This window comes from Homo sapiens, chromosome 11 (genome assembly GCF_000001405.40).
Source record: "Homo sapiens chromosome 11, GRCh38.p14 Primary Assembly".
Taxonomy (NCBI): Eukaryota; Metazoa; Chordata; class Mammalia; order Primates; family Hominidae; genus Homo; species Homo sapiens.
In genome coordinates this window covers 73,920,221-73,938,671 of record NC_000011.10, presented here as the reverse complement: position 1 = coordinate 73,938,671, position 18,451 = coordinate 73,920,221, and the positions used below count along the sequence as shown (strand labels likewise).

Sequence of the window (18,451 nt, the reverse complement as noted above, 5' to 3'; positions counted from 1 at the left end):
AGCCTCCAGAGTAGCTGGGACCACGAGGGCATGCCACCATGCTCAGATAATTTTTTTTTTTTTTTGAGATAGAGTCTTGCTCTGTCGCCCAGGCTGGAGTGCAGTAGTGCTATCTCGGCTCACTGCAACCTCCGCCTCCTGGGTTCAAGTGATTCTCCTGCCTCAGCCTCCCGAGTAGCTGGGATTACAGGTGCGTGCCACGACACCCAGCTAATTTTTGTATTTTTAGTAGAGACAGGATTTCACCATCTTGACCAGGCAGGTCTTGAACTCCTGACCTCATGATCCACCAGCCTCGGCCTCCCAAAGTGCTGGGATTACAGGCATGAGCCACCACGCCCAGCCGATTTTTTTTTTTTAAATAATTTGTGGTAGAGACGAGGTTTCACCATGTTGCCCAGGCTGATCTTGAACTCCTGAGCTCAAGTGATCCACCCGCCACCACCTCCCAAAGTGCTGAGATTACAGACATGAGCCACCACACCCAACCAGTCAGCCTCTTACTCCCCTCAAATGGAAACATGTTAAGAAAGCATCTGGCCGGGTGCACTGGCTCAGGCCGGGCGCAGTGGCTCACTTGTAATCCCTGCACTTTGGGAGGCCAAGGCTGGTGGATCACCTGAGTTCAGGAGTTCGAGACCAGCCTGGCCAACATGGTGAAACCCCGTCTCTACAGAAAAAAATACAAAAATTAAACAGGTGTGGTGGCAGGGGCCTGTAATCTCAGCTACTCGAGAGGCTGAGGTAGGGAGAAATCACTTGAACCCAGGAGGCAGAGGCTGCCGTGAGCTGAGATCATGCCATTACACTCCAGCCTGGGCAACAGAGCGAGACTCCGTCTCAATTAAAAAAAAAAAAAAAAGAATCTCACATCACTCATATAGGGAAAAAGGAGTGCTGTGTTTAAAATCTCATCTCTCCTCGCTCTCCCTCTCCCGTCTCCCTCTCCCTCTCCCGTCTCCCTCTCCCTCTCCCTCTCCCTCTCCCGTCTCCCTCTCCCTCTCCTTTCCACGGTCTCCCTCTCATGCCGGGCCAAAGCTGGACTGTACTGCTGCCATCTCGGCTCGCTGCAGCCTCCCTGCCTGATTCTCCTGCCTCAGCCTGCCGAGTGCCTGCGATTGCAGGCGCGCGCCGCCACGCCTGACTGGTTTTCGTGTTTTTTTGGTGGGGACAGGGTTTCGCTGTGTTGGCCGGACTGGTCTCCAGCTCCTAGCCGCGAGTGTTCCGCCAGCCTCGGCCTCCCGAGGTGCCGGGATTGCAGACGGAGTCTCATTCACTCAGTGCTCAATGGTGCCCAGGCTGGAGTGCAGTGGCATGATCTCGGCTCGCTACGGCCTCCACCTCCCAGCCGCCTGCCTTGGCCCCCCAAAGTGCGGAGATTGCAGCCTCTGCCCGGCCGCCACCCCATCTGGGAAGTGAGGAGCGTCTCTGCCTGGCTGCCCATCGTCTGGGATGTGAGGAGCCCCTCTGCCTGGCTGCCGAGTCTGGAAAGTGAGGAGCGTCTCTGCCCAGCCGCCATCCCACCTGGGAAGTGAGGAGCACCTCGTCCCGGCCGCCATCCCATCTAGGAAGTGAGGAGCGTCTCTGCCCGGCAGCCCATCGTCTGAGATGTGGAGAGCGCCTCTGCCCCGCCGCCTCATCTGGGATGTGAGGAGCGCCTCGGCCCGGCCGCGACCCCGTCTGGGAGGTGAGGAGCGTCTCTGCCCGGCCGCCCCGTCTGAGAAGTGAGGAGACCCTCCGCCTGGCAACCGCCCCGTCTGAGAAGTGAGGAGCCCCTCCGCCTGGCTGCCACCCCGTCTGGGAAGTGAGGAGCGTCTCCGCCCGGCAGCCACCCCGTCCGGGAGGGAGGTGGGGGTCAGCCCCCCACCCGGCCAGCCGCCCCGTCCGGGAGGGAGGTGGGGGGCTCTGCCCCCCGCCCGGCCAGCCGCCCCGTCTGGGAGGTGAGGGGCGCCTCTGCCCGGCCGCCCCTACTGGGAAGTGAGGAGCCCCTCTGCCCAGCCAGGAGCCCCTCTGCCCAGCCAGCTGCCCCATCTGGGAGGGAGGTGGGGGGGTCAGCCCCCCGCCCGGCCAGCCGCCCCGTCCGGGAGGTGAGGGGCGCCTCTGCCCGGCCGCCCCTACTGGGAAGTGAGGAGCCCCTCTGCCCGGCCAGCTGCCCCGTCCGGGAGGGAGGTGGGGGAGTCAGCCCCCCGCCCGGCCAGCCGCCCCGTCCGGGAGGGAGGTGGGGGGGTCAGCCCCCTGCCCGGCCAGCCGCCCCGTCCGGGAGGTGAGGGGCGCCTCTGCCCGGCCGCCCCTACTGGGAAGTGAGGAGCCACTCTGCCCGGCCAGCCGCCCCATCCAGGAGGGAGGTGGGGGGCTCAGCCCCCTGCCCGGCCAGCCGCTCCGTCCGGGAGGGAGGTGGGGGGGTCAGCCCCCCACCCGGCCAGCCGCCCCGTCTGGGAGGGAGGTTGGGGGGTCAGCCCCCCGCCTGGCCAGCCACCCGGTCCGGGAGCTGAGGGGCGCCTCTGCCCGGCTGCCCCTACTGGGAAGTGAGGAGCCCCTCTGCCCGGCCACCACCCCGTCTGGGAGGTGTACCCAACAGCTCATTGAGAATGGGCCATGATGACGATGGCGGTTTTCTGGAATAGAAAAGGGGGCAAGGTGGGGAAAAGATTGAGAAATCGGATGGTTGCCGTGTCTGTGTAGAAAGAAGTAGACATGGGAGAATTTTCATTTTGTTCTGTACTAAGAAAAATTCTTCTGCCTTGGGATCTTGTTGATCTATGACCTTACCCCCAACCCTGTGCTCTCTGAAACATGTGCTGTGTCCACTCAGGGTTAAATGGATTAAGGGCGGTGCAAGATGTGCTTTGTTAAACAGATGCTTGAAGGCAGCATGCTCCTTAAGAGTCATCACCACTCCCTAATCTCAAGTACCCAGGGACACAAACACTCTGCCTAGGAAAACCAGAGACCTTTGTTCACTTGTTTGTCTGCTGACCTTCCCTCCACTAGTGTCCTATGACCCTGCCAAATCCCCCTCTGTGAGAAACACCCAAGAATGATCAATTAAAAAAAAAATAAAATTAAAAAGAAAAAAAAAAAAAAAGAAAAAAGAAAAAAGTCCTCCCATAAGGAAAGATGATCAATTCTTATGTATCGTTCTAGGGATATAAATATTCAGGAGGCTTTTCAGAATAAAAGTTAAATCATTTAAAAAAAAAAAAAGAAATAAACTTACTTGAATTAAAAAAACAAACAAAAAAAATCTCATCTCTAACTGCAGAAGGAAAAGCTTGGTTCCCTGATGGCATTTCAGATACTAGTGCCTAAGATATTGAAGAACTTTCCTGGGTCTCTGAAACCACACTGTTACAGAGGATGGCCTGCCTTGAAGTAGCTCTTTCATATTATTTGAGGCAAAAGGCTTACTTTAGGTGTATTTGGAGTAAGTAAAACACGCTTTTGGAGGTGGGCCAAAGGACAGAAAAGTCAATTAAAGAGCTAAAAAATAAACTGCAAGTTTTGGGTAAATTGAGTGGTCAGAAAGTGACCAAATCTTCATGCTGCCGAGCTCACCTGCCAGTTGTATGACTTGAAGCAAGCTTGCTTAATGGCCCTAAGCCTAAGTTTGTTCGCATAAATGGGATTATTAACAATCAACTGTAACACAGGGTTGGTAGGAAAATACATAAAGTTATAGGTGGCCAGGTGGGCCCAATGGATCCTCCTACTTCAGACACTTGTAATCCTAGCATTTTGGGAGGCAGAGGCAGAGGGTTGCTGAGGCCAGGAGTTCAAGACCATCCTGGGCACCATAGCCAGACCCCGTGTCTACAAAAAAATTAGAATAATAATAATAAAAGTTATAGGAAAGCATGTAGCATATAGAAGATGTTCCTTCAGCCTTGAGGCAGTAGACTCAAAGACCAGGTTCAAATCCTATCTGTTAGCTACTAGTTTTCTGACCTTAAACAATTATTTCTTAGCCACATTTTCCTATTTACAAAATGAAAATATGGAATTACCCTTTTTTGCATTACCAAGCCTTCTTTTGAATTTTAATTTACATTTGTTTAATTACTAATGAAGTTGAGCATCTTTTCACGTTTGCTGGTCATTTGTTTCACTCTTACCACTAGAAAAGAAATGTATTAAAATGAAAATCCAGAGGGTTGGGAGAAGGCCTTGCTCAGCCTAGGCCTGGCTGAGGTGGAGGGAGAGAGGAAGACCTCATCTGAGTGACAACCATGTGTGCAGGGGGAGGGTAAAACAGGAGATGGGCTGTGTACTGGCAGGTTGGTTACTCACAGAGGTACTGTGGATTATGAGAGGTATTGAGGATTATGAGAGGCAAGTTCCTCACTGTTGAAGAAAGGAAGTATATACGTGGAAGGCTAAAATAAAACCTGTGGAGGTGGGCTGGAATTGGAGACATCAGTGTGAACTCATGCTTTTTACTATAGAACGATGGATGTGGAAAGGGCCATTCATGTACTGTCCCCGATAGGGCCCCGAAGCAGGAACACTCCAGTAACAAAGTATACTAGCGCCCGGATCTTGGTTTCTGAATACCATTATCTACTAAATGGAACCAAGGCCGCATACACAAGTGACTGGTTCTAGGGATGGGGCTGGAAAAATACAAGGTGAGGCTGGAACATCTTGTGGTACCAGAAAATATGGAAGTGCTCAGAGAATGATGGGAACGTGTCAAAAGGACACAGGATCCAGCTTGAAGGAGTGTCCACTGGCCAAACTGGAACAATTTTAACATCAAAGTAAATAAAAGTAAGAATGAGTTGTAATCATAGAATATGAATCCATGAGTAGTCCACACTGATATATCTACGAATGAACAAACAAGCAAATGACTAAATAAATAAATGGGGTAGAAGGGAAAGTTCTAACTTATGGTAGAATGCTAATTATAAATATAGAAAGAATGATGGAATAAGAAAGTCACCCTTTGGCAATTATTAATAGCATGGGAATAACTCATTCAGACAAGAATCATCTAAGAATGCTAAAACTAGTTGACGCAAGTTTCATGGGAACAGGATATTTATATAGTTTCAAAGTAGCTCCCCACAAAATGCTTATTAATTTTCTGTGGAGAAACTTGGAAGACACCATTTTAACCACCTTAACATCAACAGACTATAACTTTAAAAATGGAAAAAAACAAGGACATGGCTGGGCGCGGTGGCTCACGCCTGTAATTCCAGCACTTTGGGAGGCTGGGGCAGGTGGATCACCTGAGGTCAGGAGTTCACTTCACTAACATGGTGAAACCCTGTCTCTACTAAAAATGCAAAAATTAGCCAGGCGTCGTGGCACATGCCTGTAATCCCAGCTACTCAGGAGGCTGAGGCAGGAGAATCGCCTGAACCCAGGAGGTGGAGATTGCAGTGAGCCAAGATCACGCCATTGCACTCCAGCCTGGGCAACAAGAGCGAAACTCCGTCTCAGAAAAAAATAAAATAAATAAAAAACAAGGACATGGAAAAATGAGAACCCTCGTACACTGCTAGAGAGGATGTAAAATGGTTACAGCCACTTTAGAAAACAGTTGGCAGCCCCTCAAAAAGTTAAATATAGGTACCATATGACCCAGCAATTCCACTGTTAGGTATATACCAAATAGAACTGAAGGCATATGTTAACGCAAGAACTTGCACATGAATGCTGCTAGCAGTGTATTTCATAGTAGCTAAAAAGTGGAAACAGCCCAAATGTCAGCCCATTCATCAACTGACGAATGGATAAACAAAATGCGGTATATCCATACAATGACATATGTCAGGTCTCTCCAGAGAAGGCGGACAAATAAGATGTGTACGTTCTGTTTTCATATAGATACGTGTGTGTATGTGTATATATACATAGAAAGAGAGAGAGACATTTAAGGAATTGGCTCACAGGAAGCTTGGCAAATCCAGAAACTGATAGAGTAGGCTGATGGTCTGGAGACTCAGGGAAGAACTGCAGTCTGAGTCCAAAGGCAGTCTGTTGACAGAACTTCTTGCTTGGGGGACAACAGTCTTTGTTCTATTAAGGTCTTCAACTGATTGGATGTGGCCGACTCACACTATCACACTATGGAGGGTAATCTGCTTTACTCAAAATCCCCTGATTTTAGTTTATTCATTTATTTTTTGAGACATGGTATTGCTCTGTTGCCTAGGCTGGAGCTCAGTGGTATGATCATGGCTCACTGAAGCCTCAACCTTCTGGGCCCAATCGATCCTCCTACTTCAGCCTCTTGAGTAGCTGGACTTGAGTAGCTTGCCTGGCCCCAAAATTCACTGATTTTAAATGTTCATCTCATAAAAAAAAAAATACCTTGAAAGAAACATCCAGAAAATTGACCAACCATCTGGGCACCATGGCCAGTCAAGCTGACACATAAAATTTACCATCACAAATGGTAATAAAGTAATAGAATGTAACATTTACATATTACTCTCAAATGAGTCAGAAAAAATATAGCATATATAACCTGTGTACATATATACAGAAAGAGAGTGATAAAGCAAACATAATAAAAAGTTGACAACTGGGCTGGGCACGGTGGCTCACGCCTGTCATCCCAGCACTTTGGGAGTCTGAGGCGGGCGGATCATTTGACGTCAGGAGTTTGAGACCAACCTGGCCAACACGGTGAAACCCTGTCTCTATTAAAAATACAAAAATCAGCCAGGTGTGGTGGTGCACCCTTGTAATCCCAGCTACTCAGGAGACTGGGCAGGAGAATTGCTTGAACCCGGGAGGCAGAGGTTGCAGTGAGCCAAGATCGCACCACTTCACTCCAGCCTGGGCGACAGAGTGAGACTCTGTCTCAAAAAAAAAAAAAATTCAACAACTGGGAGATTCGGGTGAGGGTGTACTGAAATCCTTGATGCTATTCTTTTTTATTCTTTTTATTATTTTTAAATATTTCTCATGTTTGTTTCCTATCCTTTGTACTATTTTTGCAATTTTTCTGCAAGTTTAAGGTTATTGGCAAAATAAAAGTTAAAATAGAAAAAGAACATAAAGTATATGCACAAAGAGTATTGTTTAGAAAAGAAATCTACCTATTGTGAGGCCTGTGCCTGGTACCAAGTACATGCTGAATAGCTGCTGCTGCTGCTGCCAGCTTTTCAGGTCTGGAGAGAAAGGTTATTTCTCATAAGAAGTCACAAGGGGGCATCCCAAAGCCAAGAAACACCATCTAGCACAGAAGTTCACTGAGTCTGTAGAGCTGTCGGTGTCCTACCGTTCCTTACCCAGAATGCACTCCTTAATCCTAAAGAAAAAAAAGAAAAAGCTTTGTCTGCTAAAAGCAGGGGCTCCTTCCTTTCACAGTGGACAAGGCTATGGAGCACCTGAGAGCTGGTCTCCTTTCCTTCTGTTTGGGTCTGGATTTCAGAGCAGCTGTCAAGGGTCACTGCATATATCACAACCAGGACATCGACTCTGGAGACGTATGAAAAGGAGCGGACGAATGTGGTGGCAATGTAGAAGAGTGAGCCCTGGAATGAGAACTCACAGACATTCACGTGTTGTGTGTACTCAGCCATATCCCTCCTTATCCTCTTTTCTTTTAATTGATTTTTAATTGTAAATGGACAATTTATACTTGTTTATAATTATGGGCCACAAAGTCCTATTGTGACTTATAAATACAATATGGAATAATTAAATGAAGCCAGTTAACATATCCATCACCTCAAATGCTTAACATTTTTTGGGTTGAGAACATTTGAAATTTACTCTTAGCAATCTACCATGCTATGCAATAGATCTCAAAACACAATATATTCCTCCTGAGACTTTGCACCCTATGACCATCATTTCCCCATTCCTCCTCCCCGAGTCTCTGTAACCACCATTCTACTCACTGCTTCTACATATATAAATATATATATATACATATATATATACATATTTTTTTTTTCTTTTTTGAGAGAGAGTCTCGCTCTGTTGCCCAAGCTGGAGTGCAGTGGTGCAATCTCAGCTCACTACACCCTCCACCTCCTGGGTTCAAGCAATTCTCCTGCCTCAGTCTCCTTAGTAGCTGGTATTACAGGTGCCCACCACCACACCTGGCTAAGTTTTGTATTTTTAGTAGAGACAGAGTTTCCTCATGTTGTGCAGGCTGGTCTCCAATTCCTGGGCTCCAGCGATCCACCCACCCCAGCCTCCCAAAGTGCTGGGATTACAGGCGTGAGCCACCACGCTGGTTCTTCCACTCACTGCTTCTATGAGTTCAAATGTTTCAGATTCTACAAATAAATGACAACATTTCTTCCTGTTTTCTTTTTTTCTTTTTTTTTTTCTTGAGATAGAGCCTCGCTCTGTCGCCCAGGCTGGAGTGCTGTGGCCCGATCTCAGCTTACTGCAAGCTCTGCCTGCCAGGTTCACACCATTCTCCTGCCTCAGCCTCCCAAGTAGCTGGGACTATAGGTGCCTGCCACCATGCCTGGCTAAATTTTTTTGTATTTTTTGTAGACAGGGTTTCACTGTGTTAGCCAGGATGGTCTCAATCTCCTTACCTTGTGATCCGCCCGCCTCGGCCTCCCAAAGTGCTGGGATTACAGGCGTGAGCCACTGCGCCCGGCCCATTTCATCCTGTTTTCTTTTTTTTTTTTTTTGAGACGGAGTTTCACTCTTGTTGCCCAGGCTGGAGCGCAATGGCGCAATCTCAGCCCACCACAACCTCTGCCTCCCGGGATCAAGTGATTCTCCTGCCTCAGCCTCCCAAGTAGCTGGGATTACAGACATGCGCCATCATGCCCGGCTAATTCTGTATTTTTAGTAGAGACGGGGTTTCTCCATGTTGGTCAGGCTGGTCTCGAACTCCTGACCTCAGGTGATCCACCCGTCTTGGCCTCCCAAAGTGCTGGGATTATAGGCGTGAGCCACCATGCCCAGCCTCATCCTGTTTTCTTAATCTGACTTCTTAGATGTTCCACCTGGAGCTCCTAGGATTTAATGTTTCTAAGTTCTGGAATATGTCCATTCTGGTCTACCTGACCCTGTCACAAACTGCACCTTGAAATGAAATTGCTCTAGTCACAAAAGTCTCTTGCTACCTGCCTGTGATTACACAGTGCAGCAGAAGGTGCTGTCCAAGGTCCAAATGAAGCCTCTGGTATTTAATGTATTGAGTCTCAGTTTCCTTATCGGAATAAAACAAATAATAACATTCGCTTTTTGAGTCTTGTAAGAATTAGATATATAAATATAGTATCTAGAACAGAGTAGATATTAAATGAATTGCAGTATTTTCTTTTTACACTTTGGTTTAAGTAACAGGGTGTTGTAGAAAAAAATGGGATTTAAAGTTAAGACAAAGTTCCTGGTTGAGTGCCGTGGCTCATGCCTGTAATGCCAGCACTATGAGAGGCCAAGGTGGGAGGAATACTTGAGTTCAGGAGTTTGAGACCAGCCTGGGCAACATGGTGAGACTCTGTCTCTACAAAAAATTTAAAAAATTAGCCGAGTGTGGTGGTGTGCACCCATGGTTTCAGCTACTTGGGAGGCTGAAGTGGGAGGATTGCTTGAGCCCAGGAGGTTAAGGCAGAAGCTGTAATCATGCCAACGCATTCCAGCCTGGGCAACAGAGCAAGACCCTGTCTTTAAAAAAAAAAAATTTACATGAGAATACGCCTTTAAAAACTCTGGTGGCCGGCCGGGTACGGTGGCTCACACCTGTAATCCCAGCACTTTGGGAGGCCAAGGCAGGTGGATCACAAGGTCAGGAGTTCGAGACCAGCCTGGCCAACATGGTGAAACCCCATCTCTAATAAAAATACAAAAAAAATATTAGCCGGGCATGGTGGTGCATGCCTGCAGTCCCAGCTACTAGGGAGGCTGAGGCAGGAGAATCGTTTGAACCTGAGAGGTGGAGGTTGCAGTGAGCCAAGATCGCACCAGTCTGGGTGACAGAGCGAGACTCCGTCTCAAAAAAAACAAAAAAAAGAACTCTGTCAACAACATTATTACCCCAGCCAGAAATGACCTTCCTCCGTTAAATAAATAAAAATCTTAATCTGCATGTCCCAGCTCAAGTGTTACATCTTTCAAGAAACTTTTCTCTAATAATCTCAAAAATATAAATAATATGGTATCCATATTCTGGACATTGTTAAAAAAGAATGAGGAACGTCTACATGTACTGAGATGGAAAATCTCAGAGACATTAAGTGAAAATAAGCCATGGAATACATACATTATGATTCCATTTTTATGTTTAGAGAAAAAAGGAGGTGACCATGCCATTCTCTTGCTTAAAACCCTTCAGTGGTTCCCCACTGCCAACCACGTAAAGTCTGAGCTCCTTAGCTAACATTCGTGCTCCTTCACTATTTGGGCTCTGCCAACCTCTGTGGCCTCATCTCCTACAGACCGATCTTGTCATTTTGAGCCCTGGGTTCCAGCTGTGACTAAAGTGCCCTCCACCATCTCTTCCTCTAGATCAGTGGCTCTCAAGCTTTAGCATACATCAGAATCACCTGGAATGCTTGTTAAAATACAGACTGCTGGCTGCACCCGTAGAATTTCTGATTTAGGTCTAGGATTGGGCCTAACAATTTCTATTTCCTGTCAAGTTCCCAGGTGATACTGATGCTGCTGTTCTAAGAACCACACTTTGACAGCCAATGCCTTTACAATGCTTATGATTCAGTTTCCTCACCTACATATAGGCTGACCAATCATGTTGGTTTGAGACTGCCCCAGTTTTGGCATTGAAAGTTTCAAGTCACAGAAAACCCCTTAGTTCCAAGCAAACTGGGACAGTTGGTTACCACCTGCATAAGAATCTCTCCCAGGTGGCAGCTTACAGGACATTTATTGCTACTGCCAAGCAGGCCTTCTCTATGGCCAGGCAACAGGGAGTGCTGAGGAAGGAATTCCATCGTCCTGACCAACTTTTTGCTGGAGTAAGAGTATTTAACAAAGTTCTTCATATTCAGGCACCTCCAAACATATTTTCTTTATTTCCTCCAGAGAACAGGCTTTAGTACTGAGGTCCTTGTAAACATTTAACAAAACTGGTTTAAGAACAAACTAAAAGCATCTATATCCTTGCCCTGTGTTGCTGGGGTGAGTTTATACAAGGAGAAGTTGGAACAAATGCAGTGGGCACAATGACCTTCTTACTCAGTTCAAAGTAGGTCTTGGGATGAGAGTTCCACACGGCCAGTACAGCTGACTTTCTGTGATTTCCAAGGGGTGCCCAAGACATTAAACGCCATGGTCCTTGGGAAGGACTGATGATGTTTCTGCTCATTGTTGATCAGGGTCAAACCTTTTCACTAACCGGGACTGCTCTTTCCAAGAAGTCAGAGGTCAGAAAGCTGGTAGCGTCGTACAAGACCGTCTCGACAGCATGTGTAGATCTGCTTCTCCCATGTGGCTACCTAAAACACAAGAATTCACAGTTCAAAGGAAGCCTGGGATTCTTCCATTTCAAAAAGATGGAGGCTTATGATTGACACACACTAGTCCCATGGAGTCTGAGAAGGCTTTATGAAGGCAACAGAATTACATCCATAATTATGTGCTTACAAAAATTGTTGGCCCATAGTGATGGATGCATCCCAATCACCAATGGTTGGGATGCACCATGACTATATAACAGAGAAACTAATTGGCCCAAGTGGAAAGCAAACCCATTAGTATTGTTCAGGTTTAGCACAGATGGTCTGCCTCTAGGGAGGAGATGGTTCAGAGATGGGCTTGACTATTCTTGAACCTTATAAAATTGGATGCAAAAATGTTCTGAATATGTGTCTTTTTTTCTGAGGAGGATTTCATCAACTCCTCAAGGAAAACAGCATGAATTCTGGAGTTAGTCTCAGCTTTACTACCAACTAGCTGCATGACCTAGGGCAACTTTCTCAACCCCCCAGGCCCCAGTTGCCTCATTTGTACAATGGAAATGTGTTGATTCAAAATATGGAACACTACACAAGAATTTTGTTTGTTTGTTTTTTGAGACAGACTCTTGCTCCGTCGCTCAGGCTGGAGTGCAGTGACGCCATCTTGGCTCACTGCAAGCTCCGCCTCCCGGGTTCACGCCATTCTCCTGCCTCAGCCTCCCAAGTAGCTGGGACTACACACACCCACCACCACGCCTGGCTAATTTTTTGTATTGTTAGTAGAGACAGGGTTTCACCGTGTTGGCCAGGATGGTCTCAATCTCCTGACCTCGTGATTCGCACCCCCTCCGCCTCCCAAAGTGCTGGGCATGAGCCACCACGCCCGGCCGGAACACTACGCAAGAATTTTTAAAAATGAAATAGATGGCTGGGCGCGGTGGCTCACGCCTGTAATCCGAGCACTTTGGGAGGCTGAGGCAGGCCTCAGTCGGGAGTTCAAGACCAGCCTGACCAACATGGAGAAACCTCGTCTCTACTAAAAATACAAAATTAGCCGGGTGTGGTGGCGCATGCCTGTAATCCCAGCTGCTCGAGAGGCTGAGGCAGGAGAATCGCTTGAACCTGGGAGGCGGAGGTTGCTGTGGGCTGAGATCGCGCCATTGCACTCCAGCCTGGGCAACAAGAGCGAAACTCCATCTCAAAAAAAAGAAAGAAAGAAAGAAAGAAATAGATCTATATGCATTTACCTGGAAACAGCTCTAAGATGGTAATTAAAAAAAAGTCACAGGGCAATATATAGAGATAGTCTCAATTACGTACAAACTGAAGATAAAAGTATATTATTTACATTAATACATAAAGATGTAAGTGTGCAAATTCTCTGAAAATAGTCTTGAAAAATATGTGCCAAACTTTTAATGCTAGTTACTTCTGGAAAAGAGAAAGGGAACCAAAAAGGTCGTAAAGGAGACTTTTAAATCTGTATCATTCTGTATTGTTTGAACTTTTACAGATATTAATTGTACAACTTTTTTTAAATTATAGGAAAAAATAGGAATAGTAATACCTACACCTCAACAAATAGTAACAAAGATTACATGAGATAACGTATATAAAACGTTCAGCACAGTGTCTGGTCAATAAATATTCCCCTTTTGTTTTTCTCTATTTGAATCAAATGAAAAAATCAGTCTAGAAGTCTTAATAATAATAAGAATGAATAATATTTATAGAATGTATTTACAAAGAGTTTTCAGATTACTATCTTTACAGATGAATTGACAGACTAGTGAGGTAAAGTAAGTTTTTAAGTTTCTAGAGCTAGTAAGTGATGAAGTCACTTTTTTTTTTTTTTTTTGAGACAGGGTCTCACTCTGTTGCCCAGACTAGAGTGCAATGGTACAATCACAGCTCACTGCAGCCTCAACTTCCCAGGCCCAAGCAATCGTCCCATCTTGGCCTCCCAAATGAGTAGCTGGGACTACAGGTGTGTGTGCCACCATGCCCAGCTAATTTTTCTGTATTTTTTGTAGAGACGGGGGTCTCATCTTATTGCCTAGGCTGGTTTCAAACTCCTGGGCTCAAGTGATCCACCTGCTTCAGCCTCCAAAAGTGCTGGGGTTACAGCTGTCAGCCAGAAGTCACTTGTTTTTTTTTTTTTTTTTTTGAGATGGAGTCTCACTCTGTTGCCCAGGCTGGAGTGTAGTGGTACGATCTTGAGGCTCACTGCAGCCTCCACCTCCCAGGTTCAAGCGATTCTCCTGCCTCAGCCTCCCAAGTAACTGGAACTACAGGCATGTACCACCACGCCCAGCTAATTTTTTTGTATTTTTAGTAGAGACGGGGTTTCACCATGCTGGCCAGGCTGGTCTTGAACTCCTGACCTCAAGTGATCCACCTGTCTCGGCCTCCCAAAGTACTGGGATTACAGGCGTGAGCCACCATGCCTGGCCCAGAAATCACTTCTGAGTTAAGCTCTTGATTTCTTGCCATCCTACCACACTGCTTATACAATAAGCACTATTTTATCATCCCTAATGACCACAAGGTATCTGGATTCAGTCTCATAAAAGCCCTAGATCTCTCATGAGAATCACCCAGGTCTGGTGTCGTCTCAGGCCTGTACCTTGTACACAGGGTCACAGTCAGCCCCAGTGAGCTCAGTGACATAGTCTAAGTCTTGCTGGACAATAAAACAGCTTCCATCACCTGAAAGGCAGAAAGAAAATTCATATAACTAAGAGAAAACTGCATCCAGAGTTTAAAAACTCAGTATTTTTATTTGCTTCTGTAGATCACTAGTGTAAAGAAGATGGTCCAAAGACCCAGAATGGCAAATAGATCTTATTACGTGGGCCAACTTTTTTTTTGTTTTTTGAGACAGAGTTTCGTTCTTTTTGCCCAGGCTAGAGTACAATGGCATGATCTCAGCAAACTGCAACCTCCACCTCCCAGGTTCAAGCAATTCTCCTGCCTCAGCCTCCCAAGCAGCTGGGATTACAGGTGCCCACCACCACGCCTGGCTAATTTTTGTAGAGACGGGGTTTCACCATGTTGGCCAGGCTGGTCTCAAACTCCTGACCTCAGGTGATCCACCTGCCTCAGCCTCCCAAGGTGCTGGGATTACAAGCGTGAGCCACCATACCCGGCCTATGTGGGCCAATTATGATGATCTATAGTGGCTGCCTAGAATGCTGAGCTGGGCTGGATTTGAAGAGCAAGTGCAAGTTCTGTGGGAAAAAGAGATGTCTTTGATTAGCAATGCCTGCCAAAGGCACAGAGCAAGCAACCACAGGTGTGTGTGTGTGTGTGTGTGTGTATTTATAAACTTATCCTAGATTATATTTAATAGGGAATGTCTAAAAAATGTCTTTAACATTTTTTAAAGAAACATTTGTGTAGATATTCCCTATTAAAATGTTCCCAGATTATTCCTCAATCTGTAAATTTGACTGTATACACTAGGAGAAAGAGGACAGTTACACTAAGAAAGTAAAAGTGTATCTAATTCTTAAAAGAGCATGGACAAATGAAACAAATGAATCATAGGGGTGATCTATAAACTGCTTAATAAGGTGATTTCTTTTTGTTAATATAAAAGTAGTAAAAATACAAAAAAAATTAGCCGAGCATGGTAGTGCATGCCTGTAATCCCAGATACTCAGGAGGCTGAGGCAGGAGAATCGCTTGAACCCGGGAAGCAGAGGTTGCAGTGAGCCAAGATGGTGCCACTGCACTCCAGCCTGGGCGACAGAGTGAGACTCTGTCTCAAAATAAATACATAAAAACATAAATAAATAGAAGTAGTACATGCTCACTGAACAAAACTTTAAAACTAAACAAAGCAGAGGTACAAAAATCACCCCTAATCTACCATTCAAAGGCAATTACTGTTAACATTTTGATCTATTTTTTTGTGCCTATTTTACATGGTTGACAGCATGTGCATAAACGAATGTCTTTATGCATAAAGTTTTTTCTGTATTAAGATTATGACTTTGTATATATAAAGACCTGGAAAAGAATCAGCAGACATTAACCTTTTCAAACTTTTTGGAAATCTGAACAACTGTTTTCCAAATTTATCTGTTAATCTACATTCAAGCAGCAGCATATACGAGGTAGTACCTTACCCTTTTTTGCATTACTATTAAAAATCACCTTCTCCAAAAATGAATCCTTGTCTTTTAGAGAGACATATAGAAATGCTAACAGATGAAATAAGACGCTCATGATATATTTCAAAATATATGAAGACTGAGGAATGCAAGGGAATGGGTAAAACAAGATTAGCAATATATTGATAATAGCTTAAGTTGGATAATGGGTATAACAGGTTCATCGTGCCATTCTGTCTACTTTTAGATATGTTTGGCAATTTGCATCAAAAAATTTTGTTTTTTATTTTGTTTCATCTGGCAACTTAAATCTCCTCACTAATAATCAAAGAGTTCCAAAGGACCTCAAAAATCATCTATATCCAACTTCTTTTTTTTTTTTTTTTTTTGAGACGGAGTCTCGCTCTGTCACCCAAGCTGGAGTGCAGTGGCGCGATCTCGGCTCACTGCAAGCTCCACTTCCCAGGTTCACGCCATTCTCCTGCCTCAGCCTCCCAAGTAGCTGGGACTACAGGCGCCCGCCATGATGCCCGGCTAATTTTTTGTATTTTTAGTAGAGACGGGGTTTCACCATGTTAGCCAGGATGGTCTCGATCTCCTGACCTCGTGATCCGCCCGCCTCGGCCTCCGAAAGTGCTGGGATTACAGGTGTGAGCCACTGTGCCCGGCCTATATCCAACTTCTAAACCAGTACAGAACTCCCTCTACAGCACATGGCAGAGCGGCCAAACAGCCTACACTTGCCCATCTCCAGAGTTAGGGGTGCCCACTACCTTAAGGGCAGCTTCTTTCTTAAGGAAAAGAAAGCTTTTCCTTTATAATTAACTGAAATGTGGTTTCTGATAACTTTCTCTTATTGGTCTTAGTTTTGTCCTCTGAAAACAGAGTTATAATCTTACTCCCTTTGCCTTTAGACATCAGTACTGGAAGTTATGCCTTGCCTTCTTCCCAGCAGAAAAGTAGAAAAGTACAAAAAATCTGCTCCTCTGGGTTGAAACCCGGGCGCCACCAAGATGCCAGCTTACCACTCTTCTCTCATGGATCCTGACACTGAACTCATTGGAAACATGGCACTGTTACCTATCAGAAGTCAATTCAAAGGACCTGCCCCCAGAGAGACAAAAGATACAGATACTGTGGATGAAGCCATCTATTAGTTCAAGGCCAATGTCTTCTTCAAAAACTATGAAGTTAAGAATGAAGCTGACAGGACCTTGATATACGTATCTCTGTCTACGTTTCTGAGTGTCTGAAGGAACTCCAGAAGTGCAATTCCAAAAGCCAAGGTGAGAAAGAAATGTATACACTGGGAATCACTAACTTTCCCATTCCTGGAGAACCTGGTTTTCCACTTAATGCAATGTATCCCAAACCTGCAAACAAACAGGAAGATGAAGTGATGAGGGCCTATTTACAACATCTAAGGCAAGAGACTGGGCTGAGACTTTGTGAGAAAGTTTTCGACCCTCAGAATGATAAACGCTGCAAGTGGTGGACTTGTTTTGTGAAGAGACAGTTCATGCTAGAGTCTTTCAAGACCTGGACAGTGAAAGGAGCACGGGCAGCCACCATCTCCAGAGCCCTGGGCAGCATTTTCCAGCAAGATATACGAATCTTTTGCCTTTATTTCATAAAGTTTTATACAGAAGAGAGAAGACCATGTCTTTACTTGAAAAACTCTTGATCAAGAATTTGGGTGGGAGAAAAGAAAGTGGGTTATCAACAGTGATTTGAAATTTTCTGCAGCATTAAGCTGGCGCTTAGTAAGAATAAGTAATAATAAAGAAATTTCTAACATTCCAAAAAAAAAAAGTACAAAAAGTAGAACCATGAGTCAGCTCTTCTCCACCTACACTCCTCATATAACCCACACATCACCTTGCAACAGAGATTTTTTTTTTTTTTTGCGAGGCAGTCTCACTCTGTCGCTGAGGCTGGAGTGCGGTGGTACAATCTTGGCTCACTGCAACCTCCACCTCCCAGGTTCAAGTGATTCTCCTGCCTCAGCCTCCCAAGTAGCTGGGATTACAGGTGCACACCACCATGCCTAGCTAATATTGGTATTTTTAGTAGAGATGGCGTTTCGCTATGTTGGCCAGGCTGGTCTTAAACTCCTGACCTCAGCTGATCCACCCGCCTTGACCTCCCAAAGTGCTGGGATAACAGATGTGAGCCACTGCACCCAGCCAGAGATGTTAATAATCAGTAAAATGGCCTGTAGATAGGACAGAGGAGGCGAGAAATATCAAGGCCTCAGGTGATCTATCCGCCTTGGCCTCCCAAAGTGCTGGGATTACAGGCGTGAGCCACTACACCCAACCTTATTTTTTAATTTTTAATTTTTTTTTTTTTTTGAGACAGAGTCTCACTCTGTCACCCAGGCTGGAGTGCAGTGGCGTGCTCTCAGCTTACTGCATCCTCCACCTCCCAGGTTCAAGTGATTCTCTTCCCTCAGCCTCCTGAGTAGTTGGGACTATAGATGTGTGCCACCATGCCAGCTAATTTCTGTATTTTTAGTAGAGACAGCGTTTCACCATGTTGGCCAGGGTAGTCTCAAATTCCTGACCTCAAGGAATCCACCCGCTTCAGCTTCCCAAAGTGCTGGGATTACAGGTGTGAGCCACCACGCCCAGTCACTATCTTTTTAATATTTTTTTAATTGAAAAAATTATTTTTGAGACAGAGTCTCGCTTTGTCACCCAGGGTGAAATGCAGTGGCACAATCATGGCTCACTGCAGCCTCACCTCCTAGATTCAAGTGATCCTCCCACCTCAGCCTCCTGAGTAGCTGGGACCACAGAAATGAACCACCATGCCTGGCTAATTTTTATTTTTTGTAGAGACAGGGTCTCCTATGTTGCCCAGGCTGACCTCAAACTCCTGGGCTCAAGTGATCCTCCCGCCTCAGCCTCCCAAAATGCTGGGATTATAGGCATGAGCCACTGTGCCCAGCCTACTTGTTTTTTAAATTAAAAAAATATATAA

The 18,451-nt window shown here is 45.7% G+C and overlaps 1 protein-coding gene and 1 pseudogene across 7 annotated transcripts in view, besides 4 other annotated features; one reads left to right on the top strand and one right to left on the bottom strand.

Annotated features, from left to right (window-relative positions):
• Nucleotides 1,243–1,877: an enhancer, noted in NCBI's record as "H3K27ac hESC enhancer chr11:73647840-73648474 (GRCh37/hg19 assembly coordinates)". NCBI's record gives its function as "activates a minimal SCP1, AML or CMV promoter by ChIP-STARR-seq in primed H9 embryonic stem cells {active_cell/tissue: H9 hESC(primed)}" and the evidence as "EXISTENCE:reporter gene assay evidence [ECO:0000049][PMID:30033119]".
• Nucleotides 5,800–6,050: a silencer, noted in NCBI's record as "fragment chr11:73643667-73643917 (GRCh37/hg19 assembly coordinates)". NCBI's record gives its function as "represses an EF-1alpha promoter that drives an FKBP-Casp9 reporter gene in an ReSE screen in HepG2 liver carcinoma cells {active_cell/tissue: HepG2}" and the evidence as "EXISTENCE:reporter gene assay evidence [ECO:0000049][PMID:32094911]".
• Nucleotides 7,558–18,451, bottom strand: part of PAAF1 (proteasomal ATPase associated factor 1) — a 54,416-nt gene continuing 43,522 nt past the window's right edge. For 6 of the 7 annotated variants that reach the window (NM_001267806.2, NM_001267803.2, NM_001267804.2 and 3 more), the window contains 2 exons: nt 13,975–14,057; nt 7,558–11,387 (listed from right to left, as the gene is read on the bottom strand). In NM_001267806.2, the coding sequence (NP_001254735.1) occupies nt 11,310–11,387; nt 13,975–14,057 (161 nt within the window). In that variant the 3' untranslated portion in view covers nt 7,558–11,309. Of the gene's footprint in view, nt 11,388–13,971; nt 14,058–18,451 lie in introns of those variants that run through there. The other variant, XR_007062508.1, reaches the window with a different exon arrangement.
• Nucleotides 11,771–12,270: an enhancer, noted in NCBI's record as "H3K4me1 hESC enhancer chr11:73637447-73637946 (GRCh37/hg19 assembly coordinates)". NCBI's record gives its function as "activates a minimal SCP1, AML or CMV promoter by ChIP-STARR-seq in primed H9 embryonic stem cells {active_cell/tissue: H9 hESC(primed)}" and the evidence as "EXISTENCE:reporter gene assay evidence [ECO:0000049][PMID:30033119]".
• ARPC3P4 (actin related protein 2/3 complex subunit 3 pseudogene 4) lies at nt 16,445–17,275 on the top strand (annotated as a pseudogene).
• Nucleotides 17,948–18,160: a silencer, noted in NCBI's record as "fragment chr11:73631557-73631769 (GRCh37/hg19 assembly coordinates)". NCBI's record gives its function as "represses an EF-1alpha promoter that drives an FKBP-Casp9 reporter gene in an ReSE screen in K562 erythroleukemia cells {active_cell/tissue: K562}" and the evidence as "EXISTENCE:reporter gene assay evidence [ECO:0000049][PMID:32094911]".